The sequence below is a fragment of the Homo sapiens genome, chromosome 9 (genome assembly GCF_000001405.40).
Source record: "Homo sapiens chromosome 9, GRCh38.p14 Primary Assembly".
NCBI lineage: Eukaryota > Metazoa > Chordata > Mammalia > Primates > Hominidae > Homo > Homo sapiens.
Genome location: NC_000009.12, coordinates 134,936,030 through 134,957,156, shown reverse-complemented (window position 1 = coordinate 134,957,156; position 21,127 = coordinate 134,936,030). Strand labels below are relative to the sequence as shown.

General features: G+C 52.9%; 3 long non-coding RNA genes across 3 annotated transcripts; 1 reads left to right on the top strand and 2 right to left on the bottom strand.

Moving 5' to 3' along the window:
* Positions 1–8,129: 8,129 nt before the first annotated feature.
* On the bottom strand, positions 8,130–12,431 carry LOC105376313 (uncharacterized). Its single transcript, XR_930421.3, has 3 exons — positions 11,775–12,431; positions 11,585–11,689; positions 8,130–9,841 (listed from the first exon to the last, which is right to left on the bottom strand). It is a non-coding gene; the product is annotated as an uncharacterized LOC105376313 (long non-coding RNA).
* Positions 11,459–20,367, top strand: LOC124902302 (uncharacterized). Its single transcript, XR_007061846.1, has 2 exons — positions 11,459–11,750; positions 15,892–20,367. It is a non-coding gene; the product is annotated as an uncharacterized LOC124902302 (long non-coding RNA).
* On the bottom strand, positions 13,950–20,633 carry LOC105376314 (uncharacterized). Its single transcript, NR_188683.1, has 4 exons — positions 20,584–20,633; positions 19,724–19,942; positions 15,549–15,689; positions 13,950–14,242 (listed from the first exon to the last, which is right to left on the bottom strand). It is a non-coding gene; the product is annotated as an uncharacterized LOC105376314 (long non-coding RNA).
* Between the last annotated feature and the right edge of the window lie 494 nt (positions 20,634–21,127).

The following is a 21,127-nucleotide window of genomic DNA, read 5'->3' as shown; positions in this document are numbered from 1 at the left end:
GCAGACATAAATGCACACAGACACACAGAAATACACACAGACACAAATGCACACAGACACAAATGCACACAGACACACATTCACACAGACACAAACACACACAGAAATACACACAGACACAAATGCACACAAACATGACACAGACACACACAGAAAGACACACAGACACACATGCACACAGACACACAGAAATACACACAAATACACACAGAGATACACACAGACACGCAGAAATACACATACAAACAGAGATACACATGCAGACACACACAGAAACACACACAGACACACATGCACACGGACACCGAAATACACACAGAGATACACACACAGATATACACAGACACATACAGAGAGATACACACACACAAAGAGATGCAGACACAGATACACACACAGACACATACACAGAAATAGACACAGACACACACAGGGACATAGACACACACATACACACACACATCGACACATACATATGCACACAAATACACAGAAACACATGCACACACATGAATACACATGGACATACATACCTAGAAACCCAGAGACACACGTGCACAGAGACACACACATACACACACACATCGACACATACATATGCACACAAATACACAGAAACACATGCACACACGTGAATACACATGGACATACATACCTAGAAACCCAGAGACACACGTGCACAGAGACACACACATACACACAACACACGTGAACAGATAAACACACAGCTAGAGACACACACAGATGGAAAGGCTACTGCAGCCCCATTTAAAATTTTTAACACCATGCCAGGAAAAATGGCACCTCCAGCTGCATCTTCTAGACTCTTTCTTGTTCATTCTCTGAAGTTGTTGGAGGGGAAAAGGAGCTCAGGAAGTATTATTCCACCTTGCCATGGACCAGTGGTGAGGGTGAGCCCCACCGTGGTGAAGGACTTCCCAGTGTGGTACAGTTTAAAAGGAGGTCCAAGTCGGGGGGCAGCGTGAAGACCACGTGCTGGAGGACATGCCTCCTGTAGGTGTGATGCCCCCGAAGTGGGCAGCCCCTCTCTTGCCAGTCTGGGCTGCCCTTTTACTGCCTCCTCACCTCCTGCCAGGGTGATGGCACAGATGTCCCTGGCCCAGGCCACAATCTCCTCCAGGTAGCTCCTTCCACAGCAAAGGCCAAGGGGAGGAGAGATGCTACCATGGCACAGAAGCACCCGGTAGCCCCTGGCTGACTGGCCAAGCTGGGACAAGCTGAGCCAGAGGGACAGGAGAGCCTGCCATTCTGCAATGTGGACTGCATCAGAGGAGGGGGCGCAGAGCTAGAGGTTTCCGGAGCCCTCCAGAGTGTAGATAGGAGTCACTGCAGGGCCCACAGCTGTCAGCTGAGCCCTGCCTTCCAAGAAAGTCTCACTTATCACTGCTCCAGGATCAAACTCATTCATAATTTGTGTGTGCACCTGCATTATTGATGCTCCATCTGAAAACCCTGTCCTGGATAGGGTATTATGAATCTAGAGACTGGTTAAAGACCAGACTGATGGAGAAAATACATATTTGTGCATTAATCATCACCTTCCTCTGACATGGTAGCTCCCACAGTGACAGAAACTTGGGTTTGGAGCCTCTATTGTCTGGCTGTAGCACCTGCCATGCCAGCCCCAGGCCCAAGGTCACATAGTGGGAGACAAGGGTGAGCATGGATTCTCCTTACTTCCTTACTCTGCCAGCTGCCTTCCCTCTGCTCTGAACTGCGGGACCTGAACTCAGACTCCAGGGCACTCTAAGCCATGGCTGCATGGTGGGGTCCCTGGTAATGCAAGTCTTCTGGACACACTCACTCAGCTGGGGAGAAGTTTGCCAAGTTCTGGCTCAGATGACTAGGAGAGATGGCTTGGCCTCCTCAAGCCCAGGCCCTGGCAGGGCAACCAAATGCATCTCCCTGAACCCACCAGGCTTAGGTGCCAGAGGACAGGATTTCTATGTCTTCTTCATTGTTTTTCCCCAGTGCCAAGTGCATAATAGGAGCTCAATAAATATTTATTGAATAAATAATCTTTGCATGAATTGTTATAAAATCTCTGCCAGAGTCAGTGCTACTCGCAGACTGTGTTTCTCTCTCCTGACACTTGGTGGTTGTTAAATCAGAAATCGTCCCCTATCTTCATCCATCCAGCCGTCCACCCAATGGCACACTTCTAAACGATTTGTGACAGCTACAGGTACAAACATAGGTGACATCTGAATACATTTTTGGGCATTTGCATAGGGGTTGTTCACTCCTAAGGTCTCACCCTAACGACTGTGTTGGAGGTTATTGTGCCACGGGGCCTTAGGCACAAAGGGCTCGGGTTTGGTGCTGAGATTCCAACTTTAGCTGATGCATTGACAGTAGCATAGGAAGCAGCTGGTGGGTTTTATTTGCAGCCTGGAGGGGTCAGCACAGAGGAGGGTGGAAGGCGAGCATGAAGGAACAAGAGAAAGCAAAGGACACTGGGGTTCATGGCTGTTCACGGGTCTGCTGAGAACGGAGGAGGGCTTTGCTTTGGCACCGTCTAAAAATACTCAGAGTGCTCGTGATGCCCACAGCTAACTTCATACTTAATTCAGAAGGACTGAAAAAGCTTTCTACCTCTGATCAGAAACATGACGAGGATGTCCCTTCTCCCCACTTCTATTCAACAATAGGGTTCTAGCAAAACCTAGTCAGGAAAAAGAAAAGATATCCACATAGGAAAGGAAAAACAATCTCAATTTGCAAATGAAATGATCTTCCTAAGAAATCCATGAAAAATACTCTTAGAACAAATAAACAAGTTCGGCAATGTGGCAGGATATAAGATTAATATACAAAAATCAATTTTATTTCTACACACTTGTGATGAAAAAGCCAAAAATGAAATTTAAAGAAATTTCCACTTATAATTGCATATATACCTAGGGATAAATTTAACAAAAGAAGCCCAAGGCTTGCACACTGAAAGCTACAAAAGGTTGTTAACAGAAATGTTTAAAGACCTAGATAAACACAAAGATATCCCACATTCTTGAAGGGCATGACTTGCTGTTGTTAAGATGGTGGTACGCCCCCACATTTACCTACAGATTTGGTGTAATCCCTATCGAAATTCTGCCTGACTTTTTTGGTAGAAATAAAGAAGCTGATCATAAAATTAGTACAGAAACTCAAGAGATCCAGAGCAGCCAAAATATTCTTGAATAGAACAAAGTTGAAGGACTCAGACTTCCTGATTTCAAAACCCACTATAAGGCAACAATAAAGATAGTGTTTATTGGCATAAGAATAGACATATGGATCAATGGAATAGAACTGAGAGTCCAGAAATAAACCAATAAACCCTCACATCTATGGCCTATTGATTTTTGATAAGGGTGCCAAGACCATTCAATAGGGAAAAATAGCCTTTTCAACAAATGGCGTTGGAATAACAGAATATCCATATGCATATTCAAAAATTATCCACATATAAAAAACTAATTCAAATGAATCAAAGATTAGGCCAGGCACAGTGGCTCATGCCTATAATCCCAGCACTTTGGGAGGCCAAGGGGGGCAGATCACCTAAGGTCAGGAGTTCAAGATCAGCCTGGCCAACATGCCGAAACTCTGTCTCTAGTAAAAATTCAAAACTTATCTGGGCATGGTGGCATGTGCCTGTAGTCCCAGCTACTTGGGAGTCTGAGGCAGGAGAATCTTTTGAACCAGGGAGGTGAAGGTTGCAGTGAACCAAGATCATGCCACTGCACTCCAGCCTGGGTGACAGAGTAAGACTCTGTCTCAAAAAAAAAAAAAAAAAAAAAAAAAAAAAAAAAAAAACATGGATCAAAGATTTAAATGTAAGAGCTAAAACTATAAAAGCTCTTAGAAAAAAACAGGCATAAATCTTTGTGACCTTGTGTTACTCAACAGCTTCTTAGATATGAAATCAAAAGCTCAAGGAACAAAAGAAAAGACAGATGAATTAGACTTCATTAAAATTAAAAGCTTTTGTGCTTCAAGACACAATAAATTAAAAAGACAACTGACAAAATGGGAGAAAATCGTTATATATCATCCATCTGATAAGTGACTTGTATCTAGAATAAAGAACTCACAGCTGGGCACAGTGGCTCATGCCTGTAATCCCAGCACTTTGGGAGGCCGAGGCAGGAGGATCACCTGATCCTGATCTTGACAAGATTGAGACCATTCTGGCCAACATGGTGAAACCCTGTCTCTACTAAAAATACAAAAATTAGCTGGGCATGGTGGTGTGCACCTGCAGTCCCAGCTATTTGGGAGGCTGAGGCAGGAGAATTGCTTGAACCTGGGAGGTGGAGGTTGCAGTGAGCCAAGATCAAGCCATTGCACTCCAGCCTGGTGACAGAGTGAGACTCCATCTCATAAAAATAAAATAAAAGAATAATAATAATAATAATAATAATAATAAGGAACTCACTATGCAATAATTAAAAGACAGAGAACTCAATTTTTTAAAAAGGGGCAAAAGACTTGAATAGACATTTCTCCAAAGAAGATACACAACTGGCCAATAAGCACATGAAAAGATGCTCAGCTGCATTAGCCATCAGGGAAATGCAAATCAAAATCACAGTAAGATACCACTTCACATCCATTAGCATGGCTGTAGTCATGAAGACAGATAATAACAAGTGTTGGCAAGGATGTAGAGAAATTGGAACTTTCATATGCTGCTGGTGGGATGTAAAATCATGCAGTTGATTTGAAAACAGCCTGGCAGTTCATCAAAAGATTAATTATTCAGTTACCATATGACCCAGCAATTGCACCCCTAGGTATATGCTCACAAAAACTGGAAACATGTTCACATAAAAACTTGTACATGAATTTCATAGCAGCATTAGATCTTAACAGCCAAAAAGTAGAAACAACCCAAATGTCTACCAACTGACAAGTAATACCATGGAATAGTATTCAGCAACCATGGAGTATTATGCAGCAACAAAAAAGGATGAAGTACAATTGTGTGCTGCAACATGGAAGAGGCTTGAACACATTCTGCCAAGTGGAGAAGCCAGTCACTAAGAGCATCCGTTGTCTGATTCCATTTATACAAAATGTCCAGAATCAGCAAATTCATAGAGACAGACAGGAGATTGGTGCTGGCCTGGGGTCAGGTAAGACCTAGAGGAGGTGAGGGATCGGGGAATGACTGCTAATTAATACAGGCCTTCTTTGGGAAGGGACAATGAAAATGTTCTCACATTAGACTGTGCTGATGGTTGCACAGCTCGTGGAGACAGTTACTAAAAAGCATTGAGTTGTGTATTTTAAATGGGGAAATTCGATAGTAGGCAGATTACAGCTCAACAAAGCTGTTAAAACCATCACAATAACCAAGAAAGATTCTGTACCTACCCATGGTCCAGATCTCAACTGACCCGTGGCATACACGCATGAGCGTGCTGAGCAAAGCAAGCTGCGTCTGCAGGCGAGGACTTGCAGGGCATGAGCTGAGGCCAACCCCAGAGCACCGGCGGGGCTGGGGGGTGCGGCACAGATTTGCCCTCCACAAGGTGCACTCTCGTCCTTTTCTGTTTGAGATACAATTTAACACAATATGATGCACAGATCTTAATTTAGTAAATTTTAACAATTGTAGGCACCCACGTAACTACCACCCTAAAACTCCAAATTATGGCATATTGCCATCACCCTAGAAAGTTCCCTGGAGCACACAACCAGCCAGAGTTTTGGGAAGTCAGGAGTGAGAGAAAGGAGGCGGACTCCCAAGTGGGGCCATGACTGCAGCCTATAGGATGGGTTTGCAGAGGGTGAGACAGAGATCAGTTAGCAAAAGGGACCTTTGTCCTCCCTGAAAGCTGATGGAAACTGAAGGAAAGAAACCCTTCTGCTGAAGGAAATGCAGCAGGGCCCACATTCCCAAAGCCCCTGGGATGATGATCTTTTGGTCATTCCTTGTCCTCGCTCTTGGGGAAAACGTCAGCTACCATTTCCGCCCTGAGTCTGCCAAGGGGAGAAGGAAGAGAGAGGAGAGCATTCCTGAATTCAGAGTGCGTTGACAACAGTTTCAGAAAGGTGGATGGATGGGCGTATCCTTCATGACCAGGGACCACGGATGGGTGGAGGTGATGCAGACCTTGCCAACTGCCTCAGCCCGTCCTTGCCCAGTATGCACCCTTACACCCTGGCCATCAGCCAGCTCCACGCGCCCAGGGAGGCGGATGCCCCACACACAGCGTCTTGAGGGCACAGCCGGTGCATCTTCCAGGGCCATTTGGAGAAATAGGAGTTTTGTTGTTGCTGTTGTTTTCTAACACAGTTTGGTCTGGGGCCTCCAAAAGGCCAGCTATAGACACTATAAATTGATGGGTTTCTAGGGAAACCTGTCAGAACAGAAGATGAGTTTCAGCCACTGTGGCAGTGACGGGGCCAGAGGCAGAAATGGCCTAGAGGTACCATATGCTCTCGTAATGTACTTTGCTTCCTGCTATTTATGAGCGGAGGACGCTCTGAGTGCATCGTTCTCAATCAAGGGCATGACCAGCAATCACTCTGTGTGACTCAGCTGCCAGTGGGCCATGGGGTTGACCCTGGAGAAACCTCAGGGGCCTGGGTAGGCCTCCAGCCAGAGTCGGAACCTGGCCTCAGTTCCTCCCGCCTGCACACCCCTCTACAAGTATGGCCTAAAGGTCACGAAATATTTAGCTCTTCCCCTTCGCCTCTAGGACAAGAAGGGAGCCAGAGATCCAAGGGATGAGAGCCCAGCTTCAGAAATCAGACAGACAGGTGTGGTCTTAGCTCTTCCGGCAGGATGTGACTTTCAGCTAGGTGCCCCAGGGGATCTGTCCCCACCCACATTGCAGTGGAGAGGTGGCACTCTACTCCAGAGGCGGGGCTCAGATGCTGGACCAAATTGAGGACCAGCTATAACAGGGATGGGGTGGAAGCACCTTTCCATAAGACACGCCCACCAGTGTGAGTTGACCGCTGCCATGGCAACACCTGGGCGTTACCTCCTCTTTCCATGGCAATAACCCCAGGATCTAGAAATTTCTGCATAAACCACCCCTTAATCTGCTTGTAATTAAAAGTAGATATAGATGTGACTGCACAACTGCTCTGAGCTGCTCCTCTCAGCGCACTGCCTGTGGGGTAGTCCTGCTCTGTAGGGACAGTCACGGAGCTGCAACACTGCCTCGTCAATAAAGCCCCACCCCACCAGGGGCTTGCCCTTGAAGTCTCTCCTGGGTGAAGTAAAGAATCCTTGGGGGCCCAGCCCCACTTTGGGGCTCCCTGCTCTGCATCAGCGTGATGGGCCTAATGGTTGACTCAAGGTAGGGAGTACCCAAGTCAATGCATGCTGGGGACTCGGCAGTGGGGCTGCCCTGAGCGGAGGAGGAATATCCTGACAGACTGGCTGTCATTCAGGGGGGAGTGGGGTTGTGGTTGGCGCAGGAGCCCAGCTGAGGACAGGCATGAGTCAGGGTGGCAGTGGATGCTGTCATGTTCTGGGACCCCAGGCAGGGCACAGTGTAGCTGTGCCACGAGGTACACAGGAAAGGACGAGAGGCCTCCAAAACGTTCACAGTTGTTATTTCTGGGCAGTTCTTCATGTTCTTTAAATTTTCTGCATTTCTCCAAACTCTTTACCCAGCACACAGGGCCTTTACAATCAGAAATCTAAGAGAGTCACTGCGCTCAAAGCCACGCTGGGGCATGGCACCACGGACATGGCACACTGTTCGGCCTGTCATATGCCTCACATACGAGCTCACGTTTCTCGAGGTTTGCCCACCCACCCAGCCCCGTTCTGGGCTCTTGCTCAGGCTACGGCATTGATCTCATTACCCCCCAGTAGGCGAGGAAGGGGCACAGGTTGGGAAAGTTGTGCCAGGTCATATGGTTGGTAACTTGTGCAGGGAAGCCTCTCACCTGAACTGTGTTTCTCCTCTACTCTCACACCTCAATAATCATCAACACAGGAGAAGACTTCTGTGATGCTCCCCCGCCAAGGCTGCCCCTACACACACCAGCCGCAAGTCTGGGCCCCTGGAACTTCTGACTGGCCGCCTTCAGGTTGGCATTCCCATGACCCCCTCTTTCCAATTCTATTAATTTGCTGGAGCAGCTCGCAGAGCTCAGGCAAACACATTTATAGATTAATGAAAAAGAATATTGCAGATGAAGAGATGCGTAGACCGAAGTGGGAGGAAGGGACGCAGAGCTCCCACATCCTTGCTGGGCGCGCCACACTCCAGGAACCGCACTGAACCGAGTCCTCTTGGGATTTTATGGAAGCTTCATGATGTCAGCATTCCTTCCCCCATGGCATAGGATGGGACCCTCTCATGGGAGGGTCTTAAGACCCACAATCCGAAAGGCAGGAGAAAGTTAGGGTGCCGCCTTGGGGCAGGTGAAAGGAGGGCAGGAGAAGGCAGAGGCTGCCCATGAGGCTCAACACCCCCAACATTCTAACGCAAATGGGAACAAGTGCTATGGGAGTTATAAGCCAGGAGCCGCAGACGAAAACCCGTATCTATCCTAACAGCACATAACTATACAAAATCTATTTCCTGGCCACATAGTCACTTTTTAACGTAACCTTGGTTAACAGCATGGTGTTCAGTGTTTACAGAACACCTGGGCCTGGAGTGAGTGTGCCGGTCAGGTTCACATAGATATAAAGGATATGAAGGGAACCCCGGACACTGCTCCAAAAAGCAGACCCAGGGATGCCTGTGGGTGGCCGGTGATGGGCCCCTCTCACCCCTGGGGAGCTGGGCTGGTTGCAACCTGTCCGCCGGCACTGCCAGGCCAGGGTCACGGCTGAGGATACCCAGGGCAGGTGCAGAGGTGAGGAGGTCCCAGGTGAGCACCCTGGGAGTGGGGTGAGCTCTGCCGCGGCTTTCCTGGGGAGGGCTGTGGGAGGCGCAGGTGTGTCAGCAACGACCTGAGGCTGTGCTGTGGCCCCATGGCTTGCTGTCCATGGCCTTCATCTGCCTCTCGCCTCCTCTGGAAATGAGAGTGACTGTCCCGGCCACCCTGACCCCGCTGACCGAGAGCCCAGACGAAGGGGTAGTGGAGGGGGACCTGCTTTTCTGTCCAGAAGGATTTGGTTTGAGCCTTAGTTTCTCATGCAGCTGCAGGTGACAAGGGCCGGCAGCTGTGCCTGGCAGGGCAGGGCCCTTCTATCCAATTCTGAGCTGAATCTTCCAAGCCAATGATCTCACAGACGTGGTGTCAGTGTTACAACAGCCCGCGAGGCTGCCGAGCCACTGAGAAACTAGGGTCACCTGCAAGTGAGCAGGTGGGCAGCACCAGGCAGTGTGGGGGCAAGGATGCCTGCAGGGGCACCTCCTGCAGGGATGAGCCTTCTAGCACATTCTAAGGGAACCAACGCCCTCTGCCCTGCTGGTGCTGTCCCCAGAGACTTTGATAGCTGGGTTTTGGGTGGGTCTTGGCTTCTCAATGTAAGAGGCCAGTGCGGGGTCCTGACGTGCAGCTGGGCTGGGGCGGTGTTCAGAGCACCGGGCTCCTGTCCTCTCTCCTCACCCGTCATGCAGGGACCTCCAGCCTTCCTTCCCCAGGCTGCTGGGGTGGGGAGGGGTGTGGAAGCTAGAGTCTGTGCAGCAAACATGGGTGGTCGACACTGCTGTCTGTCAGGCGGAGCAGCCCTAGAGCGGCACAGCCGGTCCGCTCCCCCGCATCCTTGGAGACAGATGGCCAGAGCCTCTGCTGGGTGGGGGAGAATTCCGCACCCTCCTGGCTGGAGGCGAGGCCGTGGGCCGCCGGCTCTGGGAGCTCCAGGCTCTGCCTCCCACACCCGCTGCTCTGGACACGCAGCATCGCTCTGCGGGGAGAGAATGGTGGCGGGCCTGGCTGGCTCTCCCTGGCCCCCCAGGGACCTAGTGGGAACAAGCACTGCAGGACCAGGAGAGAAAGTGGGTGAGGAAGCGGGGGGGGGGGTGTGGGGGTGAGCGAGTGTGAGTGTGCAAGCAGGTGTACCCGGCTATGCATGAGCACAGTGGCTGTGTGCAGGGGTGTGCCTGTGTCTGTGTGTGTGTCTGGTGTGAATGTGTCTTTGCCTGTGTCTGTGTGAATGTGTCTTTGTGTGTGTGTCTGGGGTGAATGTATCTGTGTCTGTCTGAAGTGAATGGTCTGTGTGTGTATCTGGTGTAAATGTATCTTTGTGTGTGTCTGGTGTGAATGTGTCTGTGTGTGTTACTGGTGTGAATGTGTGTGTGTCTGGTGTGAATGGTCTGTGTGTGTCTGGTGTGAATGTGTGTGTGTCTGGTGTGAATGGTCTCTGTCTAAAGTGAATGGTCTGTGTGTGTGTATCTGGTGTAAATGTCTCTTTGTGTGTGTCTGGTGTGAATGTGTCTGTGTGTCTGGTGTGAATGTGTGTGTGTCTGGTGTGAATAGTCTGTATGTCTGGTGTGAATGGTCTGTGTGTGTCTGGTGTGAATGTGTGTGTGTCTGGTGTGAATGGTCTTTGTGTGTGTCTGGTGTGAATGTGTATGTGTCTGGTGTGAATGGTTTGTGTCTGTGTCTGGTGTGAATGTGTCTTTGTGTGTGTGTGCCTGATGTGAATGTATCTGTGTCTGGTTTGAATGTGTCTGTGTGTGGCTGGTGTGAATGTGTGTGTGTCTGTCTGAAGTGAATGGTCTGTGTGTATCTGGTGTAAATGTGTCTTTGTGTGTGTGTGTGGTGTGAATGTGCCTGTGTGTTTTTGGTGTGAATGTGTCTGTGTGTGTGTCTGGTCTGAATGTGTCTTTGTGTGTGTGTCTGCTGTGAATGGTCTTTGTGTGTGTCTGGTGTGAATGTGTCTGTGTGTGTGTGTCTGGTGTGAATGTACCTGTGTGTTTTTGGTGTTAATGTGTCTGTGTGTCTGGTGTGAATGTGTCTGTGTGTGTGTGTCTGGTGTGAATACATCTGTGTGTGTGTCTGGTGTAACCCTGTCCCAAGGAGTGGCCCAGCCATCCTTCATGGGTCACAGACTGTGACATTTGGGACTACCAAGTAGTGGGCTTCCCCTGCTGTCCCCAACCCCACCCCACACCCCCAGCACCAGGTGGCTTCATCAGAGTCACAGCTGCCTGTTTGGGAGGCTCTGGGCCCTGAGCGGAGAGGGAAAGGGGCAGATGGGCCAGCACACACTCAACTCACTCTTCGACTTGGCTTTCGCAGGTGGAGCTGCCAGAGGAGCCTCACAGCCTCCCCCAGCCCACAGTGACCACCCTCCTGCCATGAGGCCACTGCTGATGAGCCTGAGTCCCATGTGCATTTGAGGGCACCTGTGGCCCCAGGCTCCGGGCCAGGGCCTGGCTCAGGGCAAGAACCAAGTTAACTGTCTCGTGAATTGGGGACGGGGTAGGCTGCATGGGCAGAGGTGACAGGGGTGCTTCCCCACCCTCCGCGCCACCCTCTGCCCTCTGCCCTTTGCCCTCTGCCCTCTGCCCTCCGCCCTCTGCCCTCCACCCTCTGCCCTCCGCTCTCCAGGTGGCTTTCCCCAGGACCAAGTGTGGTTCTGCCCTGGGAAGAGAATGGAGCAAGGGTCTCCTGGCAGAAATTAGGAACCCAGGACTTTACCCACCTTCAACCAGCCAAATGGCCTCGGTCAATCCTCTCGAACTGCATACCTCAGTATTCCCATTTGTATAAAGAGGGTCTCCATGCTCTTTGAGGACCAGGATCAGATCTGACAAGTGCAAGGTTAAGGTCAGGCTTTCTGGTGACAGAAGGTGTGCAAGCTGACACAGGTGAGGTTTTGTTGACCTGCTTACCTTGCTGGCGTTTTCTTCTTCCTGAAATCCCTGCTTACTGTTTCTCCTCCATTGCCCACCACCTGCCCCAAAACATTCCCCGCCTGCCAGGTAGGGAGACCTGCAGTGAGGACACCCACACGCGGGGTTTCTGTGTCCCTCGAGAGGGGGTGCGAGGGCAATGCCAAACAGGGGAGGGTGGCTAAGGGTGGAATTTCAGGCATGAGCAGGGCCGCCGTGTGTCTAAGCCAGGCATGGAGCAGGGAGGGGCAGGGAGCGCTTCTCCATCCAAGGAGCTCCGGGGGCAGCACACAGCCTCGGGACAAGCCCAGCTGTGGGGCCCGGATCCCGGTCCAGTTCAGTCTCAATCTCCACTCGTTTCATTTCTCTTGAGTCTCTGGGCCTGTTTCCCCATCTTTACATTGCACTGTGGGGTTGCAATGCACAGGGTGGTGAGGTTGGATGAGATGAGCCGACTTTGCCTATGTTAGTATCTCTCATACCCGCATTCCTCACACACTATGTCCGGGGCACTGGGGACCTGTGATCCAGCAAACCCCTGCAGAAAGAGGGACGGCGAACCTCTGAAAGAAGTAAACAAATCAGTCCCAGAAGGAAGGCGGAAAGGAAAGCCGTGGGGATGTGTTTCTGAAGTCAAACACCCTGCGCTCGATAAGGCTTCTGGCAGAGGAAGAGTGAGAGCCCCTCCCAGGCCGGGCTGCCGGCTCTCCTGGCGCCTTCCCGCTCAATCCTATTAGCCATCGAGCAGCAGAAAGAAGCAAAGCACACTCAGAAGGAACGCAGATGTCAGAGACAAAGACAAAAGGCAGGGTGGGGCTGGGAGGAGGCACCGCTTGCAGGCCTGGCCAGGCCAAGCTCCCTGGAGAGGAGCCGCATGGCTCCAGAGGGAAAGTGGTTTAGCAAACTTGATGGATTCCTCTTATTAGACAAAGCCCTGTCTCCCCTACTCCCACCCCTGCACAGCTACAGAAAAAGGCTCTCCAGCGGGGGGGCATCTTACTCCCACCTCCATCCGGGAGGGGCTGGCAGGCTGGGGATGGGGAGAGGAAGGAACCCATACCCCAGGCTGGTCCCCAGGTCCAGCCCCTGGAGAAAGCTGGAGGCCTGTGTGATGAGCACCCTGGCTTCTTCCGTCTCCTGCAGGGCCCCAGGAAGCTGCGATGCCCCCACCAGCCCTGGACTCTCTTTCTTCATGTGGAAGGGTCATCTCAGAACCCAGGTCCAGTAGGATCCAGTAGGGGCTGCGTTCCCTCAGGGAAACCTGGGAGGTGAGGTTGGGAGGGTCATCCATCCACCTGGCCATCGTGCACTTGAGCGAGGCAGACAGGGTGGAGGCAGAACGGCGGGGTGCTGCGGGGCAGGTGGGCGTGAATCCCCTGCCAGCCCTGCCCACACACAGGGATGTGTTGGGGTCCGTCGATGAGAAAGTGTGCCTGCAGGCTTGAGCGGGGCTGGAGCCTCCACCACCCACCTGTGCATGGCAGCTCTTGGTGGGGGGCAGTCTGGGCGGGGTGCCCAGCGGACCCTGTGGCCTGAGTCACGGCGGATCCCGTGTGCCTCACGTAATCCTCCCCCCCGGACCTCCCCAGCCATTTTCAGGACCTCGGGAGGGAAGAAGGCATTTGAACATCTTCAAGATCATTTGCAGGTGAGGAAACTGAGACTCCGAGGAGGTGCTCAGGACCTCGAAGCAGGAACGCGAGTCAGGCCAGTGCACCTGCCAGGCTCACCCTTTTAGTCCAAGAGGCACAGCGCCCTCCGTTTCCACCTGGCAGAGCCCAGGAGTGAGGCTTTCCCACCTCCACACGCCCAGCGCCCGCCCCAGAGGAAAAACACCACTTCCCAGGATCTGACCCAGAGCAGACGATGGAAAGAGAACAGTGTGTGGGGACAGAATCTTCTGGAGACCTCCATTGTGCCTCAGTTTCCCTCTATGTCAAATGTCAGCCTCTGAGCGTTGAGGGTAAACTCTATACATCATTGGAAGATTGTGCAGGGAAAACACCAAAGAGAAGCCCTATCTCAGGAAAGCCCCCCCTGCACGTGCCCCCTCCCCCATTTAGACCTGCTCCCCATCCATGTGCCTGTGCCCCTGGCAAGTCACTGTCGTCTTGTTCCTCTCCCGATGGGGCACATGGGTCAGGACAGAGGCAAAGCAATCAGCTCCACATTGCCTGCCGGCTGCAAGGGGGGGCAAAAGAAATGTTTAATTTATCACTGGTTCCAAGAACTAAGGAAAAAGTAATAATAATTCTGTCTTGAGCACCAAGAGCATGATATTTACAGCCGCAAAACTTTCCCAACAGTTTGAATGCAAAACAGGGTGTGCCGTATTCATAGCCGTTTGTCCCAATTGGAAAGGAAGGCGTTCGAGAGCAAAATAGCACTTTGCTGCAAACCGCTCGCTAAGAAAATGGCAAGGCAGTCTGTGTTCTGAGGGAGGCTGGGAGCTGGAAATGAGCAGGTACCTGAGAAAAACAGAACAAAAGCAGGTGCAGAAGGCGGTCAATGGCAGCCTGTGCCAAGCAGAGCAGGGTGGCTTTCTTTTTATTTAAAATAACATTTTTATTGATTCCTGAATTCCTGCCCAGATGAGGCTGGGGAGACAGGAAGCCACATGGACGAGATGCCCGGGGAGAAAGCCCATGGTCTCCCAGCACTTGCCCTCCCGAGGCTGCTTCCACTCTGCACCGTGTGGCGGGGGCGGTGGGCACAGCCGACTCAGTTTCCCTTGCTCTTAGGGCGAGCACCAGCACTTCTCTCCCAGGAGCTGAGATGATTCATTAACAACCAAGGAGAGATTTGAAAATGAAAAATGTCCTCGCCGTCTCTGGGATTAATCATCGTATAACGCATGCTCCCTCTCTGCGTGGCAACTTAATTACCTGCCGTCGACAAAATGATTCTCCTCCTGCTCCTCTCCGGAGAAACGCTCCCATTTGGAGCCCGCGGTGCAGATTCTCGGCAAAGAATCAAAGCTCTCTTTGCAGCAACAGAAAGGCTCGGGAGTGTTTTTATGGAATGAGAGAGAACAGAAGCAGCCTCTGCTGGAGAGGGGCCTCCCAGGTTCGGAGGGGACAGACCAGGGAGAGACAGAAATGGCCCTAATTTTGTGATTTAAAAAATAGAACTCGAGATCCTGTTTCCTCCCGAGCCTGCTGAGAGGAGTCCTTGGCCCCTCTGACAGCCTGCTCCAAGGGGCAGAGCGGGGCAGGGAGCATGACCTTGCCTGGACGTGGACCTGTGTTGCCCTGGCCAGGGCCCTCCAGAGAGTTGAGCCTACTGTCTGCTTCTGTCTCAAGACCCGGTCTTAGGGATAGGGAACTTGCCTTGCTGACCTTCCTGAGGCCATAGCCACTGGACATTGGGCTTGCTTAGCCGAAGCCTTGTCCCAGGTCCATGTGGGTCACGGCCCTTTGTTTTGTGTGTGTTTGCTTTTGTTTCTTTGTTTGTTTTTATTATTTGAGACAGAGTTTCACTCTTGCCCAGGCTGGAGTGCAGTGGCGCAATCTCAGCTCACTGCAACCTCCGCCTCCTGGGTTCAAGCTAGTCTCCTGCCTCAGCCTCCCAAGTAGCTGGGATTACAAGTGTGCACCACCACACCCGGCTAATTTTTGTATTTTTAGTAGAGACAGGGTTTCACCGTGTTGGCCAGGCTGGTCTCGAACTCCTGACCTCAGGCGATCCAGCCTCCCAAAGTGCTGGGATGACAAGCGTGAGCCACTGCCCCCAGCCTGGGTCACAGTCCTTTGTAAAGGGCCACTCAACACTGACCTGCAGCCTTGCTGTTCCCTGCAGCTGGGGTGGGGTCCACCTTGCCTGGGGCCATCCTCATTCTGCTTGTCTGACGTTCTTTAGTATCTGTTAAGGCTTGTAGGGCCCCTTTCACGCCCAAATGTCCTGGTCATCCCAGTTCTAGAAAAGAAGACATTCGAACTAGTCTGAAAGATCAGACAGAGTTTTTTGTTTGTTTCTATTTTTTGCACCTGGTAATGAAAGTAATAAATTCTCACCGCATAAAATTTGGAAAGTAAGGAAAAAATAATGTAAAGCAGAAGAGAAAGCCACGCCAGCTTGCTAATATCTTGGAATGTTTATTTTCTGTCATTTTTCCTAGGCTTGTAATTATTGCACCTGGCCAGGGTCATCCTGAACACAGTCGTCACGCCTAACCATCTCTAGGCAAGGAGATGGGAAGGGCTTCGGTGGGCAAAGCTAAGGAGAAGGAAAGGGCTCGGTTGGAGGGAAGACTGGGCTCCGCTCCTGCCACTAGCTGCTGTGTGCTCTCTTGCCAGCTGCTCACCCTCTCTGAACCTTGTTCTTTGGCCTGCAGAACTGGCATGGGGCTGCCACAAGGACGATGAGCTACAAGCGACAGCAATGGGCTTCTGCACAGACGGCCCTGCAGAAACCTCTGAGATAGCACCCCCTGCGGTCCCCTGCCCACCACCACCCCACTTTGCTTTTCTTCCAATTGATCTCCACCTGACACAGTGCACGCCAATGCTGGTCTCCCTCTCCTTGACCCAGGGGGAGGTGGGGAAGCTCCTGAGAGGGAACCCGCTGTTGTGTTCAAGGCTGTGTTTCTGGGGCACATGAGGCCCGGGCTGGGTGAAGCTGTGAAGCTGTGCTGAATGGATGCAAGGCTTTCCAGGAAAGATGGCAAGGGCACGAGGACGGCTCAGGAGGAGCAGGAGGGTGCCAGCAGAGGAGCCCAAGGACAGGAGATCACAGAAGGCCCTGGCAGCCTGAGACGGGGGTGCTGTCCTCTTTGTAAGCTGCGCAGCTGCCTCGACCCCTGAGCAGGCACACAGCAGGTGCGGGTAGGGGTCCTTCCTCCTGGCACAGACAGCCCCACAGCCTATGGGGCAGCAGAGCCTCCACCCCGGACACTCCTGCTCCTGGATGCAGAGCGAGAGGTGGCTGCAGCCTTGCGGGATGTCGCGCGGAGGCTGACGGGAGCACGGTTCACTGAGAGAGAGAAGCCAGCAGGCCTCAGCCATGGAAGCCGGTGCCTGATTGGTGCCCAGCTGTGATTAGAGAGTCCTATTTCAATGTGGGCCCCTTAGGCTCATGTCCAGAGGCCTCTGACTCATGGAGAACTGTGCTCGGCACACCGTTTCTGGACCCTCTTGAAGGATTATCTGCTAGTCCTGGGGCCTGGGTACCATGTTCTGCATGGACAGCCAGGACTGGGATGGAGCCTGGACCAGCCCCCGGAGCAGCTGAGCATCTACCCATCGGTTCAAATAGAAGGACCCTGGATGTCTGCCTTGGATGGCCGGCCCAGCCCCCTGTGGGCTGATGGGAGCTCCTCTTTCCAGGGTTCTGGGCCTGTCTCCAGAGCTGGAAGCGCTGAGGACTCCCAGCCCTGGCCATGATGGATGACGAAGCCCACACCTGCCCACCCTGTCCATCCTCCTGTGGTGGATGCCCTTGTCTTCTCTCCGTGATACCGTGGGCTTCCCCTGGCAGAGCCCTCATCACAAAACTCTGATGTTTACTCATCTCCGCAGCAGGCCCCGGGGAGCATCTCGCAGGCGGCCACCCCGCCAGAGCCACCGTCCTCTCTCAGTGCTGGGTCACTGCATGCATTCAGGGCTGAGTCTCCACTCCCCACATCTGCCTTTAGAGTCAGAAAATCACCCACTGGCATTAACCAAGGCCCCCGAGTCAGTTCTAGGGCTGGAAGGACCTCCTGAGACCCACCTGTGCTCATTCACTTATCCGCTCATCACTCACTCATCCGCTCATCACTCACTCATCCACTCATCATTCATTCAGCAGTGGTTGTGGGTCAGTGACACACCCAGCCCCGAGCCAGATGCTGCAGGTACATAGCTCAGGAAAGTGATGCAATCCCTGAATGCCTGGCCTTGGTGTGCCGAGAGACAAGTGAAATTTTCCCAGGGCCACGGTGGGATTCAGAAGGTGCAGCGTGCCCTGCCAGGGGGAGATGGCAGAGGCATGACTGTCCGGGGCAGACAAGACAGAAGGATGAGTGGCAGTTAGTAGGAAAATACACGTGTCCAGGGCAGAGACTCTGGCCCTAGGAGGCCTGGGGGTGGCAGGGTGAGTGCCCAGGAGGGGGACGTGCCTGGCACTCACACAATGAGTCGGGCAGGGAACGCGGCTGGACCCAGAGGGCCTGGAGGCTGTGAGGAGGGTGATCTGCCCCTCTCTGTAACAGGACAGCCCAGGAGGGTCTGTGCTCAGGGGTGCCACATGCCCCTTATGCTCCATCTCACGGCTGGTGCCAGCAGACCTGGACTCTTCCAGCTTCCCCAAGCGGTGCGGGACTGCCCGGGATAGAGAAGCATGCAGCGACCTTCCAGGCTGCAGCAGCAGAGGGGTGGGGGTGGCTGGGCCTGCGTGGTGGCCGCAGGGGAGAGGGACGTGGATGGAGGTGAAATGGACAGGTGTGTGGATTGCAAGGCAGCCTGGATGTGGGTGTGGGGGGCGTCATGGTCTTCCCTGCCACTGCAGACGAGGCAGCAGGCTCCTGGGGAAGCTGGAAGAGGCAGAACTGGGCTGCTCTGTTCTGAGGGCTTCTGCCCAGAGTTCCAAGTTCCAGGAGCTTCTAGGGGCTGGGGCCTGCCTGCATAGTGAGGGGATGAGTCCAGGTCTGCGGCACATGGCCTCTGCCGTCGGCCTTGCTCTCAGTGCAGAGCCGGCCTCGTCCTCATTGTGTGGCTCAGGAGATGGAGGCCCAGAGAGGCGAGGCTGGCACCTGCACAGGCCAGCTGCATAACCCAGGTCCAATTCCAGGTCCCAGAGCCAGGCTGCATGTTGACCCACTGCCAGGGATGACGGGCAGACTGCTACTCCCAACAGTGCCTCAGCTTTGTCACCTGGAGGGCAGGAGGGCAACAGGACCTGCTTGGAAGCTGAGAGTCCACATGCCCAGCAGGCATCCCGCCCTCCTCCGCCTCTTGACAAAGCAGGCCGGTCATGCTTCTGACACCAGGGCCGTGAGGAACGGCGTCCCCCTCCCTGGGTCCGTAGGCCTTTGACAGGTGGGGATGCCTGTCCCTGCTGGGCCCCAGGTTTGTATTTGCAGCCACAGAGCAGAGCAGGGAAGAGCCAAACTGACCCACCAGGAACCTCAGCTCTTCCCTGTCTGGGTCCTGCCCTGACCACATCCGTCACTGTCAACACCGGGAGGAGAGTGTGCGGCAGCCCACGCTCCCTGATGGCAGCCTTCCCCAGAGAGCCAGGCCCACCCCACCGACCCCAGCCTGGGGTCTCTCAAAGGCTCTGGGCACTGCCTTGGCTGAAGCCAGTCCTGAGCTCCAACTTAGGGACAGAACCGGCCCACCTTGGTGGATGGGGCTTGGCAACCTCCCAGATTCCCGAACACCCCCATAGGCCCCTTTCAGCCTCAGGTTTGGAGAGGCAGAGGGGGAAAGGTCCCAGCTAGCCAGCCAGGGGCAGGGAGAAGGTGTGCTGGTCTGGTCAGTTACCTCCCTGACTTCCTCATCCATGTGGCAGCTGAAGCCTGTGACAGGAAGAGGCAAAACAAAAACCAAACCTGTCCCTAAAGGTTAAGCTTATTGGTCCTTACGTGGGGGTGTAAAGTGTTTTATTCAGGTAAGCTGACGCATCCTGTTAGCTGAGCTAAACCAGACAGAGCTGACTGGAGGAGGCAGGGCTGATTTGAAAGATGAACCTCCAGCCGAGAGCGCCTGTGAGGATGCTTGGGGGCATCAGGATCTTCCTCCTGCAAAGCTGCAGGTCCTCATGTGCCTGATGCTCTCCCACTAATGGTTAGCTCTGTGACCTCCTCCAGGTTGCCTCAGTTACCTCAAATGTAAAATGCAGAATGAAGTCCCCCCTCCCCACCGCAGATGGGACACAGGTGAAGAAAGGTGGTCCGGTGACCTGCCCCATCCCAGGTGGCTCTTACTGAAGGTCGGCTTCTATTGTTAGGCCACGTGCACGTCCTTTACCTGGAAGATGATTGAAACCTGCACCTGGACAGTGCTACCAGCTGTGGGCCACCAGCTCTGCAGGGACCCAAGGCCCCAGTGCAGGCTCAGAACGAGGCAGAGACAGTACCGTGAACTGCTCCAGGCATCCACATTCTCAGGGACCAATCACCCTCCTCCGTGCCTGTTTGGGCCATCATGGGAGCGATTCAGGGCTGCTCAGGCCTTGGTCCTCTTGTCCTAAGGGAAGAAAGCTGAAAATACCTAGATGTCTAGATGGCCCTGGATCCACAACAGTCTCCATCAGGAGCACAGGAGCTGTGCATGACCACACCACCGATTTCCTCTTGGGAGACTTCTAGGGGTGGGGGGCTGTGGTAGCAAATACAGAGTGTGTATTACCCCAGCGTTAACCACGCAACTCCTAGCCTGGAACACTTAAAAGAGGAACCTGCCACCCTCCATGAGGCTGGAGAATCAGCGGGAGTTTCCAAAAGGCAGCTTTGGTTTAAACCACAAGATAATGGAGGGATTTGCATTTTGCTGAAGAAACCCCAAAGTGCCCTCCGACATTGTTTCAGTTCTGATTTTTTGTTCCTTTTTGAACGTCTCCTCTTGAAGCAATTTCTGGCCAAATCACACAAATAAAGAGCTAGAGAAACGGGTTACAGCTCGCTTCCCCAACTTGTTAATTAGGTTTGGAAATGTCTAGAGGGACTTGAACTTCAGTGACCAACCACCCTGGTTTGCCCTGGGGACATGGGACTGTCATTGCTAATACTAGGACAGTTCCAGGCAAACCGATGGGATGGTCAGCCTGCCTGCACCCTGGTCATTGTCTTCACCCATTGTTCCCTCATAAAGGTTGATAAGCACCTCACCTTTTGTAGTTGGTGGAGTCGCTGCTCCACCCCTCCTTTCCCTCGGCTGTGATGACTGGCAGGTGACTAGCCAATCAGATTCTTCCCTAGGATTCTTCGTTGGGGATTGGTGGATCACATCCTCACTTGCCCCCCTAACTCACAGAGTATGATGGAGGTGACTTAATGGTGACCATGGCTGGCTGGGCTCTCTCTGCCTCTGAGAGAGCGCTCCTCTGTAGAAGGAGAGAAAGAACCCAGGCAGGGACAGTGTGTGTACGTGTGTGGGTGCGTGCATGTGCGTGTGTGAGCCTGCAAACCCACGTGCCCACCCCCAGCTGTCTCTTGTCACTGCCATGACCAGATCGGGGTGCTGGGAGGATGGAAGAAGCCGTGGTCCCGTGCTCTGCCCTCTACTGTAGCAGAGAACCCGCTACACAGAGGTGACTGTGCAGGGGTGAGGGAGGTGGCGGACAAGGTATTTATGTGCAATAAATATTTAATTCCACCCAGCGCTCCTCCCGTAGCAACGTGGATCCTAGATTAGTTTTATACATTCCACCCA